The 18,883-nt window shown below is 35.5% G+C and overlaps 1 protein-coding gene and 1 long non-coding RNA gene across 4 annotated transcripts in view; one reads left to right on the top strand and one right to left on the bottom strand.

Annotated features, from left to right (window-relative positions):
- LOC105369657 (uncharacterized) overlaps positions 1-18,883 on the top strand; it is a 41,122-nt gene that overhangs the window by 12,852 nt on the left and 9,387 nt on the right. For both annotated transcript variants that reach the window (XR_931355.4, XR_001749003.3), the window contains exons 2-3: positions 1,321-1,589; positions 3,465-3,606. This is a non-coding gene — a long non-coding RNA (uncharacterized LOC105369657). The remainder of the gene's footprint in view (positions 1-1,320; positions 1,590-3,464; positions 3,607-18,883) is intronic.
- EIF2S3B (eukaryotic translation initiation factor 2 subunit gamma B) lies at positions 1,113-18,358 on the bottom strand. Of its 2 annotated transcripts, NM_001357731.1 has the most exons (2): positions 17,038-18,355; positions 1,113-1,645 (listed from the first exon to the last, which is right to left on the bottom strand). In NM_001357731.1, the coding sequence occupies exons 1-2, from the start codon at positions 18,343-18,345 to the stop codon at positions 1,553-1,555; spliced, it is 1,401 nt and encodes a 466-aa protein (NP_001344660.1). In that variant the 5' UTR covers positions 18,346-18,355; the 3' UTR covers positions 1,113-1,552. The 2 variants fall into 2 exon arrangements, with proteins under 2 accessions (NP_001344660.1, NP_001344663.1); NM_001357734.3 differs by lacking the exon at positions 1,113-1,645 and having other exon boundaries at positions 15,723-18,358.

Here is an 18,883-nt window from a genome sequence, read left to right as displayed (position 1 = left end):
CAGCATGTAAACTGGGGAAAAAAGTTTCTCTGAAATCCCTGGATAATATTACTTTCTGGCAATTTCTAACTTCTGTTAAAGATGGACATGTCATCTCTTTTCAACTAAATGTTAAATTTGTCTTTCTAATTTGTTATTCTTTAATCTAAAAATCTAAAGAGGCAAGAAATCTCTCTCCAAAACTCTGTCTTGAGAAGACTTTTCATGACACCTTTCTGAGCTAACCTATTAAATCTAATCGCTGACAAATTATTTGACAAATGATTTGATCAATTTAGCTATTGAATATTCCTCATGTGGTAATTTAAACTCAAAAGTTTTACCAGAACACCGTTTACTGTCTTAAGACTGGAAGTATAACAAAAAGGGTACAAGGAGAGTGATAAAAGTGGGGTAAAAATTAGATTGCTTTGGAAACTCATGGACAGAAACCCATGGAAAAGTTCCTCTCCTGCCACCATAGGGGTGCAGGTTACTCTGGTGAGTTGGGGCATGAACTGAGGTCTTCCACCTGATTCTTGCTTTTCATGTACCCGGGCAGGGAGCACCTATCATCTCTCACCATCATCCAGGGCTCATTCCCTTGCTTTAAAGGGGACATCACTTGTGGCTTATAAGTCCAGTTTCCCAAAGACACAAATATCACATTTATCCAGCATCAAATCCTTTTGGAGTTTCTCTGTTAAGGGCTCAGATGATCCCACTCATCTGGAGAGAAAACCATGACCATATTTTCAAATTTCACTGCCGCCTGTGATGGCACTCTTAGTAACGAAAGAACCATTTTTCTTCTCCTCCTCCTTCTGTTCTCAGGGAAAAGGTTAAAAATCTCAGGAAGATTTTGAAAGAATCATAATATTATTCCACTTTAGATTTTAGGTTTAAGCATCTTAATTCTTTTCTCTCCCTCATCAATATCAACAGCAGTCATTGGGTGTGACAGTGTAACTTATTCAAATATCTAGAAATTGCTGACTGGAGAATGATAGACAATTTCTAAAGAAGGCCTTTGTCTTTATCTTTATTGGTGTGGTAAAGGTAAAATATTTTCTGGTAATGTGCCTGAGATAGATTGAAAACTAGGTAGGATTTAAAAAATATGAAATATAATATCAATATAACTTCATTTTTTATTTTTTAAACATCAGAATTTTTCATATAATTAAATTAGGACACATCATAATTAACAGTCAAGTTTAGTTTATATTTAACATATTTTGAGAAAGAGTAGCATTCTAATACTCTATAAAAATATATACATGTATGTATATACATGTTTATGTGTATATAAATATAATTTTATTTGTTTGTGTATTTCAGATGAAAGCAGCATCATTTCAAGAACTTGGACTGATATAAATAATAAACATGAAGTCCAGGTGTAGGGCTGGCTGTAAACATGTTGCAATAAGATTTTCAGGAACCTAAGTTCTTCCCATAATTGTGATATGGTTGTCACAATTCCGGGCATCACAGCCTGCAAAGAATCTCCAGAGCAGAAAGGGGATCATGTTTTCTTTTGTCTTTTTTCTTTAAAGAAAGAAATGATTTCCTAGAAGTTTGCTGCAGACTTCCTCTGTGTCTCATTGGTAAGAACTGGGCCCCATTCTAATTCCTTAATCAAATCAAGGTGAATTAGATGAATCTGGAAGAGAATGCAATGGATGTTGAAGAATCAGTAAATATGGAAACTGCAATAACTCAAATCTATTTAGGTATAAGGAAAGACTAATTTTTTCTAGATAATTAATTCTCCCAGCTCCATTAATTGAATGATGCTTTGTTCTAAGTCCTGATTTGATGACAAATTTATACTCTTTTTAAAACTGCATATATTATTTAACTAATCACAGAATATAGTTATAGACATAGTATGTATTATGTTTATTTTTTATTTATTTAAATATTTTTTAGAGACAGGATCTCACTCTGTCACTAATGCTGGAGTGCACTGGCACAATCATGGCTCACTGCAGCCTAAAACGCCTAGGCTCGAGTGACTCTCCTGCCTCAGCCTCCTGAGCGGCCAGTGCTACAAGCTCACACCACTACACCAGGCTATGTGTTATGGAACATATACTAATTATACAGCATACTTAAAAGGATGAGAAAGTTGGATCTGAAAATAAAAATACAAACACCTTTGGCAGTATGATATGTTTTACAGACTGAAAGTCAACTTTACTCCTCTGGGTTTTGTTTTAGTATAATATTAACATAAAATTGTAGACTCAAAAGTTATTCTTGAGATGGTTTAGTTTAATGTCTCATTACTTACATGAGGAAACTGGAGAAGTTATTTTCTTAAGGCCATACGATTAATTTGTGGCATACCAAGGATTAGAACTGCTTCCTAGATTCAAGTTTAAGGTTCTTTCAGAAAATCTTGAGCTCACTTTGTTTTGTGGAAGGTTGAATATCAAAAGATTATGACTTTCAGGTTGCTCACACTTTCCTAAAATAGCTAGCTTTTACTATACACTTCAGGTTTCTGCGTGGACTTTGTCATCACAGTCTTTAAATACTCATTCTTGGCTTGCTATTGAGAACATATTCATCTCTTTCCTTACACCCTTAGTTAACTTAGAAAAGGAAATATTTTCATTGATTCAGATTCTTTTTCTTATTTATTTATGGTTTCTGAGGGAGAGAGATTATTTTATGGTTTTGCAGAAGTGTTATTTATATAAATGTAGGTATTAAGTGGAGGTGAAGAAGGATATATTTGGATATAGATATGTACATATATACACATATATGGATTTGAACTAAAGACTATCACTAGCTATTTGACCTTGGGGACTATCAAATATTATATGCTTTGAGGCTCAGTTTGCCTCATCTATAAATTGAAAAAAAAACATCACTCTGCAGAGTAGTTAGAAATACAAGTGATTCCCAGCTTTGTTAATGTTATTTCTTTAAACTTCCTTTCCTTAAATCCCAGGATTTGTTCATTTTTCCCATTCTCTAAGATTCATGAGATCCAGTTAAATGGATAAGATCAGGAAGTGATGGGGTGTGGTATAAGATAATCTGGCAGATTGCAGACTGTGTTGAATTAGAACGTGTATCCTTGCTAAAGGTGACTCAATTCAGTATCATAATATGGTTATCACTTGGGACTAATACAGGCACTAAATGTTCACATGCAATTTTCAAGAGAAGATATACATCTGGATATTTGTGTGTAAAACATTAATTTCTAACTTTTGGCAAGCAATTAAATTACCTAAAAGACAGCCTAAAAGTCTAATATAACATGTCTGTACACTGTCACAAACTATTATTTAGCTATGTAGGATCTCTGTTCTAAAACATCACAAAGAGAAGTCTACAAAATCATATTTTCTGATATTCCCTGACAAATGGTTACTTTATTTCACTTTTTCTTGACTATCATGCTTATTACTTATTGAGGTCTCTCCATTCCTTCATGATGAATGTTCCCATTTCAACTGAAGAATTATGCTGTTCGAAAGGATTCTTGCTGTGTTCTTTGACTGCAGCCCTCAGATATGAGTGAGGAGAGAGTGACATGCACAGAGACAAAATTCCCCTTTTCAAAATGAAAGAACGGAAGACGTTCAGCTCACAAAAGTAAAGGTAAACTGTTTTTTGTTTATTTTCTTGTTTTCTGAAAATATATTGTCAAGTAAGAAAAAAATGAAATCATAATTATGTTCATATATATTTGATATTGCATATCTCCTTTTCTTAAATTTTATTTTATTATTATTATACTTTAAGTTTTAGGGTACATGTGCACAATGTGCAGGTTAGTTACATATGTATACATGTGCCATGCTGGTGTGCTGCACCCATTAACTCGTCATTTAGCATTAGGTATATCTCCTAATGCTATCCCTCCACCCTCCCCCCACCCCACAACAGTCCCCAGAGTGTGATGTTCCCCTTCCTGTGTCCATGTGTTCTCATTGTTCAATTCCCACCTATGAGTGAGAACATGCGGTGTTTGGTTTTTTGTCCTTGTGATAGTTTACTGAGAATGATGATTTCCAATTTCATCCATGTCCCTACAAAGGACATGAACTCTTCATTTTTTATGGCTGCATAGTATTCCATGGTGTATATGTGCCACATTTTCTTAATCCAGTCTATCATTGTTGGACATTTGGGTTGGTTCCAAGTCTTTGCTATTGTGAATAGTGCCACAATAAACATACGTGTGCATGTGTCTTTATAGCAGCATGATTTATAGTCCTTTGGGTATATACCCAGTAATGGGATGGCTGGGTCAAATGGTATTTCTAGTTCTAGATCCCTGAGGCATTGCCACACTGACTTCCACAATGGTTGAACTAGTTTACAGTCCCACCAACAGTGTAAAAGTGTTCCTATTTCTCCACATCCTCTCCAGCACCTGTTGTTTCCTGACTTTTTAATGATTGCCATTCTAACTGGTGTGAAATGGTATCTCATTGTGGTTTTGATTTGCATTTCTCTGATGGCCAGTGATGGTGAGCATTTTTTCATGTGTTTTTTGGCTGCATAAATGTCTTCTTTTGAGAAGTGTCTGTTCATGTCCTTTGCCCACTTTTTGATGGGGTTGTTCGTTTTTTTCCTGTAAATTTGTTTGAGTTCATTGTAGATTCTGGATATTAGCCCTTTGTCAGATGAGTAGATTGCAAAAATTTTCTCCCATTTTGTAGGTTGCCTGTTCACTCTGATGGTAGTTTCTTTTGCTGTACAGAAGCTCTTTAGTTTAATTAGATCCCATTTGTCAATTTTGGCTTTTGTTGCCATTGCTTTTGGTGTGTTAGACATGAAGTCCTTGCCCATGCCTATGTCCTGAATGGTAATGCCTAGGTTTTCTTCTAGGGTTTTTATGGTTTTAGGTCTAACGTTTAAGTCTTTAATCCATCTTGAATTAATTTTTGTATAAGGTGTAAGGAAGGGATCCAGTTTCAGCTTGCTACATATGGCTAGCCAGTTTTCCCAGCACCATTTATTAAATAGGGAATCCTTTCCCCATTGCTTGATTTTCTCAGGTTTGTCAAAGATCAGATAGTTGTAGATAAGCGGCGTTATTTCTGAGGGCTCTGTTCTGTTACATTGATCTATATCGCTGTTTTGGTACCAGTACCATGCTGTTTTGGTTACTGTAGCCTTGTAGTATAGTTTGAAGTCAGGTAGCGTGATGCCTCCAGCTTTGTTCTTTTGGCTTAGGATTGACTTGGCGATGTGGGCTCTTTTTTGGTTCCATATGAACTTTAAAGTAGTTTTTTCCAATTCTGTGAAGAAAGTCATTGGTAGCTTGATGGGGATGGCATTGAATCTATAAATTACCTTGGGCAGTATGGCCATTTTTACGATATGATTCTTCCTACCCATGAGCATGGAATGTTCTTCCATTTCTTTGTGTCCTCTTTTATTTCCTTGAGCAGTGGTTTGTAGTTCTCCTTGAAGAGGTCCTTCACATCCCTTGTAAGTTGGATTCCTAGGTATTTTATTCTCTTTGAAGCAATTGTGAATGGGAGTTCACTCATGATTTGGCTCTCTGTTTGTCTGTTGTTGGTGTATAAGAATGCTTGTGATTTTTGTACATTGATTTTGTATCTTGAGACTTTGCTGAAGTTGCTTATCAGCTTAAGGAGATTTTGGGCTGAGAAATATTAACTTTAAATGTAAATGGGCTAAATGCTCCAATTAAAAGACACAGACTGGCAAATTGGATAAAGAGTCAAGACCCATCAGTGTGCTGTATTCAGGAAACCCATCTCACGTGCAGAGACACACATAGGCTCAAAATAAAAGAATGGAGGAAGATCTACCAAGCAAATGGAAAACAAAAAAAGGCAGGGGTTGCAATCCTAGTCTCTGATAAAACAGACTTTAAACCAACAAAGATCAAAAGACACAAAGAAGGCCATTACCTAATGGTAAAGGGATCAAGAAGAGCTAACTATCCTAAATATATATGCACCCAATACAGGAGCACCCAGATTCATAAAGCAAGTCCTGAGTGACCTACAAAGAGACTTAGACTCCCACACAATAATGGGAGACCTTAACACCCCACTGTCAACATTAGACAGATCAATGAGACAGAAAGTTAACAAGTATACCCAGGAATTGAACTCAGCTCTGCACCAAGTGGACCTAATAGACATCTACAGAACTCTCCACCCCAAATCAACAGAATATACATTTTTTTCAGCACCACACCACACCTATTCCAAAATTGACCACATAGTTGGAAGTAAAGCTCTCCTCAGCAAATGTAAAAGAACAGAAATTATAACAAACTGTCTCTCAGACCACAGTGCAATCAAACTAGAACTCAGGATTAAGAAACTCACTCAAAACCACTCAACTACATGGAAACTGAACAACCTGCTCCTGAATGACTACTGGGTACATAACGAAATGAAGGCAGAAATAAAGATGTTCTTTGAAACCAACAAGAACAAAGACACAACATACCAGAATCTCTGGAACACATTCAAAGCAGTGTGTACAGGGAAATTTATAGCACTAAATGCCCACAAGAGAAAGCAGGAAAGATCCAAAATTGACAACCTAACATCACAATTAAAAGAACTAGAAAAGCAAGAGCAAACACATTCAAAAGCTAGCAGAAGGCAAGAAATAACTAAAATCAGAGCAGAACTGAAGGAAATAGAGGCACAAAAAACCCTTCAAAAAATTAATGGATCCAGGAGCTGGTTTTTTGAAAGGGTCAACAAAATTGATAGATTGCTAGCAAGACTAATAAAGAAGAAAAGAGAGAAAATCAAATAGACACAATAAAAAATGATAAAGGGGATATCACCACCATTCCCACAGAAATACAAACTACCATCAGAGAATACTACAAACACCTCTACGCAAATAAACTAGAAAATCTAGAAGAAATGGATAAATTCCTCGACACATACACCCTCCCAAGACTAAACCAGGAAGAAGTTGAATCTCTGAATAGACCAATAACAGGCTCTGAAATTGTGGCAATAATCAATAGCTTACCAACCAAAAATAGTCCAGGACCAGATGGATTCACAGCTGAATTCTACCAGAGATACAAGGAGGAACTGGTACCATTCCTTCTGAAACTATTCCAATCAATAGAAAAAGAGGGAATCCTCCCTAACTCATTTTATGAGGCCAGCATCACCCTGATACCAAAGCCGGGCAGAGACACAACCAAAAAAGAGAATTTTAGACCAATATCCTTGATGAACATTGATGCAAAAATCCTCAATAAAATACTGGCAAACCGAATCCAGCAGCACATCAAAAAGCTTATCCACCATGATCAAGTGGGCTTCATCCCTGGGATGCAAGGCTGGTTCAATATACGCAAATCAATAAATGTAATCCAGCATATAAACAGAACCAAAGACAAAAACCACATGATTATCTCAATAGATGCAGAAAAGGCCTTTGACAAAATTCAGCAACTCTTCATGCTAAAAAATCTCAATAAATTAGGTATTGATGGGACGTATCTCAAAATAATAAGAGCTATCTATGACAAACCCACAGCCAATATCATACTAAATGGGCAAAAACTGGAAGCATTCCCTTTGAAAACTGGCACAAGACAGGGATGCCCTCTCTCACCACTCCTATTCAACATAGTGTTGGAAGTTCTGGCCAGGGCAATTAGGCAGGAGAAGGAAATAAAGGGTATTCAATTAGGAAAAGAGGAAGTCAAATTGTCCCTGTTTGCATATCTCCTTCTTTACATATTGAGAGGTGTATTTATGTGTAATATTTTATGAGATTTGTGATCAGCATAGTGATTTTAATCTTAAACTCTACAATAAATATTCATTTTGCTCTAATTCTGAGGGCTTTGTCATGCTCACTATATATTCTGCCTTTTGATTTTGTATAGACTTTTTATGGCATACTGTTGCAGTAACCCTGGGAGTTGCTGGCTGGCATTTGCAGGCTTACGATATATGCATGAGTATCAGCTACACATATTTCATATGATAGCAATAAGACAGGATGAAAAATGAGACACTATAACTGTGGAACCTCTACGAAACTTTGTAAACTATAAGGTTCTAGAGACATGTTAGCAATCATAATGGTACTGATGATATTGATGAAAATGATTTTATTATGTTGTTATCATTTAGTTTTTGTTTATCATTTAGCCACACAAAAGAGCATATAGCTGTGATTACACAAAAATTTCAGATACACTACACTTTACTTACCAGTGAAATTTTAAAAATAAAATTTTAAAATAATTTATTTTAATAAAATTTAAAAATATGTTAGTGTATATATATACTAACACCTATTTTACATATGTATACTAACACTTATTTTATACTAAAAATAAGCTAATATATATATACTAGTATAAATTAGTATGTATGTAGTATGTATATAATATACACACAGACATAGTGTACCCATGTATACACACACATATATATACATGTAGTATACTAGTATAAGTTAGTATGTGTGTGTGTATACGTATATTATATATAAAATAACACTAAGTTTTTTTGTGTGTAAAATGGGGTTTGCATATGACCAGTGAGTTGGGAGAATCTTTGATTATTACATTTTTATCTTACTGAAATACTGCTTAAATCACAAAGAGAATAAATTTGATGTCCTTTCTATACAAATAAAATGTTACTAGAGTTATAGAGTGAAGAACATGAATAAAGGACAGATTTGGGTATTATAATTGCCAACAATTCCTGGGTAATAAACTGAAATATACCAGTTTTGATATATTTCACATCAGTTTTTACAAAACTGTCCTCTACACTTTCTTTCAATATCTTTATTCTGATTATTATTAATTATTTGGTTCATTCATTCAACAAACAACTTTGGGTATCTTCTATAGGTCAGGAACTATATATGGCACCGATGATACAGAATTTTTTTTTAAATTATCAGCTTTCAATGAGCTCAGTTGAAAGGAGAAGTTTTTTTTAAGTGAAGCAGATTGAAATATAAAATACTGCTAGTGCTGTAATCGTATCATGAAAGGATCAGATGAATGTCATATAACATCTTGAGGTCATAAAAGCTTCCCTGTAGATCATAATTGATGTGAAGTAGAGGACAAGCAGGAATTGGGGGGCTGAAGGTAAACAAGACTAATGTAGATGGAGTGAAGAATATGAATAAAGGGCAGATTTAGGTATTATAATTGCAAATAGTTCTTGGGTAATAAAAAATGTGGCTAGAAATTGATTTGGACAGGTATGAAGCTTCATGAGGGTCTTTTGCACTATGTTAAAAATTTTTAGATTTCCCCTAAAGGCAAAGAAAACGATTAGATGATTTTAAGTGAAGGACCAATATGACTCATGTTACATGAGCAGATATGGATTTTAGAGAGGTCAATCTGAGTAGCCTAGAAAGTGGGTGGGGGGATGTAAAGGAAATTGTTTTAGGAGTCAAGGTTAGTGACAATGACTGTCTAAACTGGCATCATGAAAAAAAGCAATGATGGGTAGGAAACCTATATGAGAAATATTTACAACGTAGAATTGCAGGAATCTGCATTGGATTCAGTGGTTGAGGGAGAGGAGGAAATCCATAATTTCATATCATATCAGCCTTCACACCTTGATGGATATAATTCTATTAAATGTTATAGAAAACACAAGAAGAACATTAAACTATGTTTGTTGTGATAATGGTGATGATTTAGGTGCTTTGTGGTATATCACTGGAGACAACCAGAAAGAATTGGTCTGTGTCTCCAGAGTGAGCTTTTAGTAGCAGACATAGACCATTGGCATGTATATGGAAGGATTAAATGTCTGAGATCAAGAGAGATACCTAGACTGGATATATAAATTGTGGAATTATCAATTAATATAATAAGTATTTGAAAACATTGTAAGGAAAGGAGAGCCAGATGACAAAAAAAGCTTTGTAACATCAGGGAGTATTATATTATGTTAGAAGAGAAGGGGTCAGAATGATGATCTTTAGGATAAGTCAACATTTAGAAATAAAATATGAGTAAATAGCAAAAAAAAATGATATTTTGATGAGACAAGTAGGAGGGAACCCAATATAGTAGAGTATCTGGGAGAGTAAGCTATGGTGAAAGTAGATTGCAATGGCTAAAACCTATTGGCCAATTAGGAAACAGAGACACTGAGTTCAAAAAAATTATTTTTTAAATTATGGCTAAGAAAAAAAATTTACCAAGCATTGAAAGTATGGAGAGCTACATGATTCTTCTTCTTCTTTTATTTATTTATCTTTTTTGAGATGGAGTCTCGCTCTGTCACCCAGGCTGGAGTGCCATGGGACTATCTCAGCTTACTGCAACCTCCACCTCCCAGGTTCAAGTGATTCTCCTGTCTCAGCCTCCCAAGTAGTTGGGACTACAGGCATACGCCACCATGCCCAGCTAATTTTTGTATTTTTAGTAGAGATGGGGTTTCACCATGTTGGTCAGGCTGGTCTTGAACTCCTGACCTCAAATGATCCACCCGCCTCAGCCTCCCAAATTGCTGGGATTACAGGCGTGAGCCACTGTGCCCGGCCTTATATGATTCTTATATGTTATTAAAGGAAATATAAATTGATACAACCACTTTGGGAAACAGTTTGATTTTATCTTCTAAAGCTGAACATGGCTCAGGAATTCTAACTACATATCCAAGAGAAATATTTGCATAAGTACAACAATGCAAATTTACAGGAATATTTACAGCAGTGCTGTTAACAATTTGAAACATCTCGAAACTATCCAAATAACCATTAATGGGATAATGATTGCAAATCCTCCAACAAATACACAGGGACCCATCCATCTGTCTCAGAAAAAAATTTCTCTTCCCACTGAACAAGTCTGAAACTCCCACCCCAGTGTTGATTTCAGCCCTAGTATAAATAAGCAAGAAGGTGAGGGGATTTATGCCTGATAGCCACTAGTTTTATGTGAAGTAGCAGAGGAGGGGTAGGATAATATTTACGTAAATTATCTACTTCACCTCCTTGATTCTCCCAGAGGAGCATGACAATATGAGGTGAAAATAAAAACCAAATTTTCTGTACAATGTCATACAATTTTATAAAGTTAAAACATTAAAAACAAAAAATAATTTTAAGGAATAACAAAGCAATAAAGTATGTATAAAATAAATCAAGGGAATTCATCACATAGGATTCGGTATGATAGTTACATTTTTGAATGAGGTAGGAGGACGGGAAGGAGTGAAATATACAAGTAGATAAATGTAATGGTTATGGTCCTAGCTATAGTTTTGGGTTACAACTAACAAAGTGAGTAACTAAATAAATAAACAGAAGTTCTTGGAGCAATGATAAAAGCGTCTTATGAATGAAATATTGTGAATAATCCTATCGGGCACCTCAAGGTCTAAAAATTAAAAAGAGACAACTCTGTTTTAAAGAGCAGGAAAAAGAAATAATAGAAATCTGGGAAGCAAGAGTGGCTTGAGATTATTATATACAAGAGAAGAGAAACATTGGAGGGAAAATGTTAGAGGAAAAATGATAATAGAAGTGGAATAGCTAGAGATGATGATTCTTTAGGACATAACAGGGGGTGATATCCACACTAGGGATGGAAATTTTGGAGTTTTTCAGTGGGAAGATAAATTTTTTTTCTGAGATAGATGGATGGGTACCAGTGTATTTGTTGGAGGACAAGCAAGAAGATGAGGGAATTTATGCCTGATGGTCACTATTTCTATGTCAAGTAGCAGATGAGGGCATTTTCTGAAAAGGACAGTCAAGGAGGTCTAGTAGATAATTTAGAAAAATATTAAATAATAGAAATATCTGTTGAATTGAGAAAAAGGAGTGATACAATAAGTAGGTTGTATACTGTTGAGGGGCTAAATGATTATAAAAACCATCAATTTGGAGCTGCATTAATCTGCATCTGTACAGTTTTGTGATTTTTTTGCCAGCTGGCCTTCAGATGCTCTTGTGAAGATGAGATGGTGAGTGATAGAATGTTCCAGAGCTGACTGTTTTTAGATGACAAATATTCATTGCATAAAGACTACGGTGCAAGATTGTTAGATGTCCTGCCAAAATTATAAAGTGCTGCACTATGTGGACTTGAGCGGGCGATAAGGAAAGGAGAAGATAATTGATTAGTTATAAGGAAATAGCAGTTTTTAGAAACCAGATGTCTTTCATTTGTCTTTTAATTTCAGGTCTAGAATATAGATATTGGAGTGGATTGCTGAATGGAACAATAGCTCCATTTGTTATAATTGGGAACGTTAAGAGATTATGCAATTGATGTTGGTTTATTTTTACAAGTAGAATCGAAGTTGAATGAACAATGGTGAATAGAGGCAGAATTGTAAATAAAAACTCTTTGTGTAGGAAATCTCTGATGAATTTTTTTTAACAGAGCCATAGACTGTGCTTTTACATTTTTTATTCTTGACTTTTTGGAAGAAATTGCTATTTCTTTCAAGGAATCTTAACTTTCCTTTTGCACATTAGAAGTAGCTGTATAAGCTCTTTCCTCATGTGCTTTCAATGAATCCATTATAAACTTCAACATAGAGACAAATCCCTTTAAATGCAAATATTAATCACAACTTTGAAATAATTGTTTGAAGATGGAGTAAAAGCCAGCTGAATTCTTTAAATTTCCAGTTTATATCTTTTGTTTTATAAATAATTAGTTTTATATACTGAAAAATATAATTTATAAATGGTTTTATTTAAAAATTCATTTTATGTTCTGACACTTCAAAATATTTTATGTTTTTCCCAGACTGTACTTCCACTTCATCAACATCATTCACTTTGTTCTTTAGAATTTCAGTAAATGCCAGGTGCGGTAGCTCATGCCTGTAATCCCAGCACTTGAAGAGGTTAATGCAGGTAGATCACTTGAGCCCAGGAGTTTGAGACCAGCCTGGGCAACATGGTGAAACCTCATCTATTCAATAAAAATAATTCAGTAAATGATGATAATGAAATGATTTTCCATTAAACCCATTCATGATATTAACTTTATAATATAAAGTTTTGCAGAGCTCCTTTAAATGTAAAACACAAGATATAGAAGAGAAAAAAGAAAAAAAAAACCTTCTTTCTAGAGTTAAAGATCACTCCATTTTACCATCTAGTACAAATATGTACTGAGTACTTAAGCTAATAGCAAACAGATTTTTTTTCCATAGAATTAAACCCTTCTGCACCATTTCAATAAAACTTTACATTGATCTTTGGCAGGGCTTTTAATTTTGCTTTTTCTCATCAAATCTATTTTCTATATTATATTTAATTGAACACTTGATTTCACTAAAGAAGACCCTATTGTCATATTGATTTGAGTAATTTTACTTCCTTGTGTAAGTAAATTTTACTTGCTTGTGAATAAGTTTGCCCAATATAGAACTCTTAGGATTAATATAATTGCCATATATTCACTTTGGTAGATTTCTTCCTGCAGGAAGAACTTCTCCATATTGGTGCAGTTTGTTTATACTTGAGAAGTCAAGATTTCCGAATGTAATCCTAACAGTGGCCTTGGGTCTGTCAGAGGCTGTCTGGCTCAACAGTATTTTTCCCTGAAGAATTTGGTAGAAGAGCTATGTCCAACATACAGACTTTCGGCACACAGGGGAATGCTATTTTCTGGTAATTCATTCTGAAGTAAGCAGTGAAGTACGTAAAGTGTACATGTCTCTAAATGGTCTTGGGGATGGAGTGTGGGTGGTTGTTTTTGTTTTCAAGAAAAAGGCTGTGCCTCCTGTCAAGGAAAATTGTCCTGCTATGGAGAAAAGTGTTACTATTTTTCAAAAGAAGAGAAAACTTGGAATGAGAGTAAGAAGTCATGCCAAGATCTGGGTTCTAGTCTCATTAAGATTGATGACAAAGAGGAGCAGGTATGTTTATTTTATTAACCCCGAGTAAGTGCTTTATGAGACATGTGTGTGTCCTGAGTTAGGATAATTGTTTGGGCTTTCCTCTCATCTTATTTGACCCATTTGGTGGAGGTACCTTTAGTACTGGTGCACATTTACCTTTTACCTGCAGAGGAAGGGGAGTAGGTATTAAAGAGACCTGGAAGCACTGTTAATTTTAAACAAGAATAATAGCCCTGATGTCCTCTCATTGTATGTGTTACATCTTCATATTTTAGTATACATCAGACTATTCAATATTTAGCCTATCAGTGCTAATGTAGGACAAAAGATAAACTGCCTTGGATGATATGAGTAGTCGAAAAGAGATGACTTACTGTATTAAGCTCACTTCTTTCACCATCAATATTTGAGAAAGATCAAATTTCTAAGGGAAGATGATCTCTTACTGTCATGTCCATGGAAAAAAATAGGATGAAAACAATGAAGAATGCAAATAACAATGAAAAATACACATTGTTCTTTATGTGCCCATAAAATCTATGTGTGACTTTCATGCTTTAAATATAAATTTATTTATAATTAATTTACTAATAAATTAATATACTTCTCATGGATGTATGCATGCATGATCAAAAGTTTTTGGAAATTAATGGTGATGAGTGATATTTATCTGATTAAGATTTTTTATTGCTATCAAAATGAACCATAAATCTATATAACTACGAATATGGTGGTTCTTATTCAAGTGATATTTCAAGTAATGTGGGAAAGGACAATTTATTTCATGAAAATTGGTTGTGCAATTTGGATAGTTATAGAGGCATAGTATACATTCCTTTTATACTATATACCAAATATACTAGAAAGCATAAAAATTGGATGAGAATTAGAAACTATAAAAATTTTTGAATAAAATATAATTGAAGTCATGATCTGAAAGTGTTTTTAAAGCTAAAATTATGGTAAATATTTTAAAAATTTGTGATGGTTTAAAATTAAAACTCTAACTCTGGTAAAAATTGATGATTTTTCAGAAGAAAGGTAAGATTGTTGGAAATATATTTGCAAGCCATCTGACAGTAAGATAATACTCTTAATATTTAAGTGTGTCTATATATTACTTCAGTTAAAAAAATGAAGACCTCAAGGTGGCATATAGATAGAATGCTAGAAAAATACTGTGGAGGAATAGGCAGAATTAAAGAATAATATTCTAACAATGATAAGAATCTTGATAAAAATCTCACAGTAATGCAATAGTTAATCTTTCTTTAAACATTTAACAGGACAAAATAACAATAGATATAGAGAAATAATAGAGCACTAAGTAGCAGACAGGCTGCCCACTGCAAGAATGCCACTTTCTAAAAGACAATTAATTTGCTCCTCAACACTCAACATAAAATGGAGAAACAAAGAAGATAAGTATTGTATTAATATTACCCTCACATAAATATTAGATTTTTTGAAGGAGGTCAGATTTTATCTGACGGTTCTCATGTGCTTTAACATATAAGAGATTTTAACAACTTTTCTAAGAATTTATATACACATATGTACACGCAAGTTTTTATACTTAAATCCTGTATATGAAGAATTTTTTTTCTATGAGTCTATGGTTTCATAACTTTAAAAAGCAGAAAAATTTTAATTTGCCCTACACTAACAAAAGAAAAAATTTGATTATTCACATTTATTCCCTTAAGCTAATAAGGGAATATATTTTAATGTTATATATGGAGATTAATATTACTTTAGGTCAGCAGGAGAACCCAGGGATGTATAATCACAATGCCGTCTTCAGGGCTGGTTAAAGTTTGAATTACTTTATCAGAAGAACATGATAGAAAATATATTTTCTTTTTTTTTTTTTTTTTTTTTTTTGCTTTCTAACATCTTTTACTTATTGACCTTTTGAAACATCCAAAAATTAGTAATATTATAATCTGTGTCACAATCATATAACAGTTAAGAAAAAACATAAAATGAAGGCCTAGAAGGATCTTTGTTACTCATCTAGAATTATTTGGTATAACAGTATTTTCCAATGGAGGAAGACTATTGGATTTCAGGCATAAAACAATGCAGAAAAACATCTCAAGGCATCACAGGGAGAGGGAGATAACTTCTGACTCTAGTTTCCCGTATTTCAGGCCAGGAAGAGCAAGGGGAGAAAATTATTTGCCCATGGGAACAAGTAATCATGCTCTAAAGGACAATTTCATTCGAACCCATTCGTGCATCCTTTTCATGCAATTCGAACCCATTCATTGCATCCTTTTCATGCAAAATTTCAAAGATAAAGCAACATAAAATATGGGGCCAAAGAAAAGGGAGAAGGTCTTCAAGGATAATTTGTGCCTTTAAGTTTTTACTGGTACAACAGTCCTTCAGCCTGGAGGTACTCAAAGACGAATCATGAAAAACAAAAAAAAACTTTATTTCGAACAGTTTCAGTGATATATGTGTGTGCTACAGCAAAGGCTGGTTGTGGCAAAGTTTCATTTCAAACTGCATGATGTGGGCTAGGCAAGGTGGCTCACGCCTGTAATCCCGGCACTTTGTGAGGCCGAGGTGGGCTGATCACCCTGAGGTCAGGAGAGACTGGCCTGGCCAACATGCCGAAACCCCGTCTCTACTAATACAAAAATTAGCCCCGTGTGGTGGCACACACCTGTAATCTCAGCTACTTGGGGGGCTGAGGCAGGAGAATCGCTTGAACCTGGGAGGCAGAGATTGCAGATCATGCCACTACATGCCAGCCTAGGTGACAAAGCCAGACTCAAAAACAAAACAAAATAAAACAAACAAAAAAACTGCATAATGTATAATTTTGACATTATGTGGGAATGCTTAACTTCTGCCAAAATGTAGATTCAATCCAACATTATGCCAATTTTTATACTAATTGTAGTCCCTAAGTTTTCATAACCAAAAAAAAAAAGAGAGAATAACCTTACCGTTACCTACTAAGGTAACAAACTGTGAAATCAATTCCCCAATATCGCTTTGAAAATAAACCCCTTGGTTGTTAAAGAGAAATTGCAACTTCCAGCTCCATCCGAATGTATTATTTAACCGGTATTCTTCAGTCATCATCTACTGTTGGCTTGATTGTCACTCCTCTTCTTATCTGACCCCAACCAATTAAACGCCAGTGTTTTTCAACTCTTCGGCTAAGGGCAATTTTTTCTCCTACCTCTGTGCACACTGGATTGGTCAAAACAATTTTGCCCAAATCGGCCTTGACAGCACTAACTCTCCCTCCTGTCGACAGGGATCCTATGTTCACCATGAGCACTTCATTCTTAGACAGCTTTTGAACCTTTGCTGCTTTCTTGTCTCCTTCAGTGCGTACACCTAGAAGCCGTCTAAGCAGGAAATAGGAAATTTCCAATTCTGTGAATATCTCAGGTAAAGCTCCGACTGCACCAAGTATTTGCCCCACCATTCTGTCAGCCCGGCACAAAGTGGGGTCAATTTTTGTTCCAACTCCAATAAGACCGCCTGGAGCAGCATATTGCAGATCATTATGCTCCGCAAAAAGTGAAACAATTTTGGAAAAGATTGATTTACACATGAGTTTTCCTTCACTATCTTTGGAAACAATACCAGGTCTTACTTCTGTCTCCTGGCCCACCTTTAATACTCCTTTTAGGATACTACCACCAGCTACACCTCCCTTAAGGTCATCAACTTCACAGCCAGGTTTGTTGACATCAAAAGATCTAATAACAATAAGCCGGGGCTCTGAAGTAAAGTCTCTTGGGGGTACTGGAATTTTCTTTACTATGTACTCACAAACAACTTCAATATTGTATTTCAGCTGAGCCGAAATTGGAATAATGGGAGCTCCCTCTGCTACTGTACCTTGGACAAACGCAAGGATCTGCTCGTATTGTTCTTTAGCCTGCCTTTCTTTTACCAAATCAATTTTATTTTGTAGAATCAAAATATGCTTCAGTTTCATGATCTCTATAGCAGCCAGGTGTTCAGATGTCTGAGGCTGAGGGCAAGATTCATTACCAGCTATCAACAGAAGAGCTGCATCCATCACTGCTGCACCGTTCAGCATAGTAGCCATCAAAATATCGTGGCCAGGACAGTCAACAAAGGAAACATGTCTGACTAATCTGAAGTTCCCTTTGGTTCCTGGAATGTCTGTAGGAAACTCATCAGGCATACTGCTCCCACAAGATCGATAACATTCTGGCCGAGGGCAACTTGGGTCATCAAGTTGATAAATCTTAGCATTAGCATATCCAAGCTTGATTGTAATATTTCTTTCTAGTTCATTTTTGAACCTGACGGTGTGAACTCCAGAAATAGCTTTGACGACTGTGGATTTCCCATGAGCTACATGACCAATTGTACCTATATTAATTGTGGCTTGTCTGCTGATAACTTCGTGTGAAAGTGGCGTCAACTTGGTAACATCCAAGGTGGTGAGATCCTGACGCGAAAGGTGCGGCTGCCCCAGAGTCACCCCAGCTTCTCCGCCCGCCATGTTGCCAAAAGAGGAAGAAAGTCACCCCGGCTGCCGCCTGATCGTCTGCAGGGGTCCTAGTGCGGGGCGGGGATGCGGAGGCCGGAAGGTCGACTAGGGTCTCAGGATGGCCGGTGCAGCAGCGGCCTCAGTGCTTGGACTTCTCTCTGCTTGAATCTGCACAGTGCCTGTCGGTAGGCTTACTGGAAAACACGGTGCAAAGTTGCTGGAGCTATTCGTCGCAGACTTGGTAGATATTTGTGCAGGCAATACTGAGGGCAGCCACCCAAACCCCCGCCCCCTGGGCCCATGCGAGGCGGGTCGAAAATATATTTTCAGTTGACCACAGATAAATACTTAAAAAATTAATGGACCATTGTAATCTATTTATATGAAAATGGATCTTGTATATACAGCCTGCTATTACATTTCTAAGAAGACACAAAACCAGCAACACACTGAATAATTCTACACTAAATATTTTTCTTCTTTAAGAAGATTAATTATTAATATATTTATTTTTTGTTCGAAACAAATAGCTATGTCGTGGTTTATATTA

The sequence above is a fragment of the Homo sapiens genome, chromosome 12, assembly GCF_000001405.40.
Source record: "Homo sapiens chromosome 12, GRCh38.p14 Primary Assembly".
Classification (NCBI taxonomy): domain Eukaryota; kingdom Metazoa; phylum Chordata; class Mammalia; order Primates; family Hominidae; genus Homo; species Homo sapiens.
This window is presented reverse-complemented; position numbering and strand designations above follow the sequence as displayed.

What these genes read in the sequence shown, in the direction of transcription:
- EIF2S3B (NM_001357734.3), bottom strand. Translation starts at nt 18,345, where the DNA reads ATGGCGGGCGGAGAAGCTGGGGTGACTCTGGGGCAGCCGCACCTTTCG.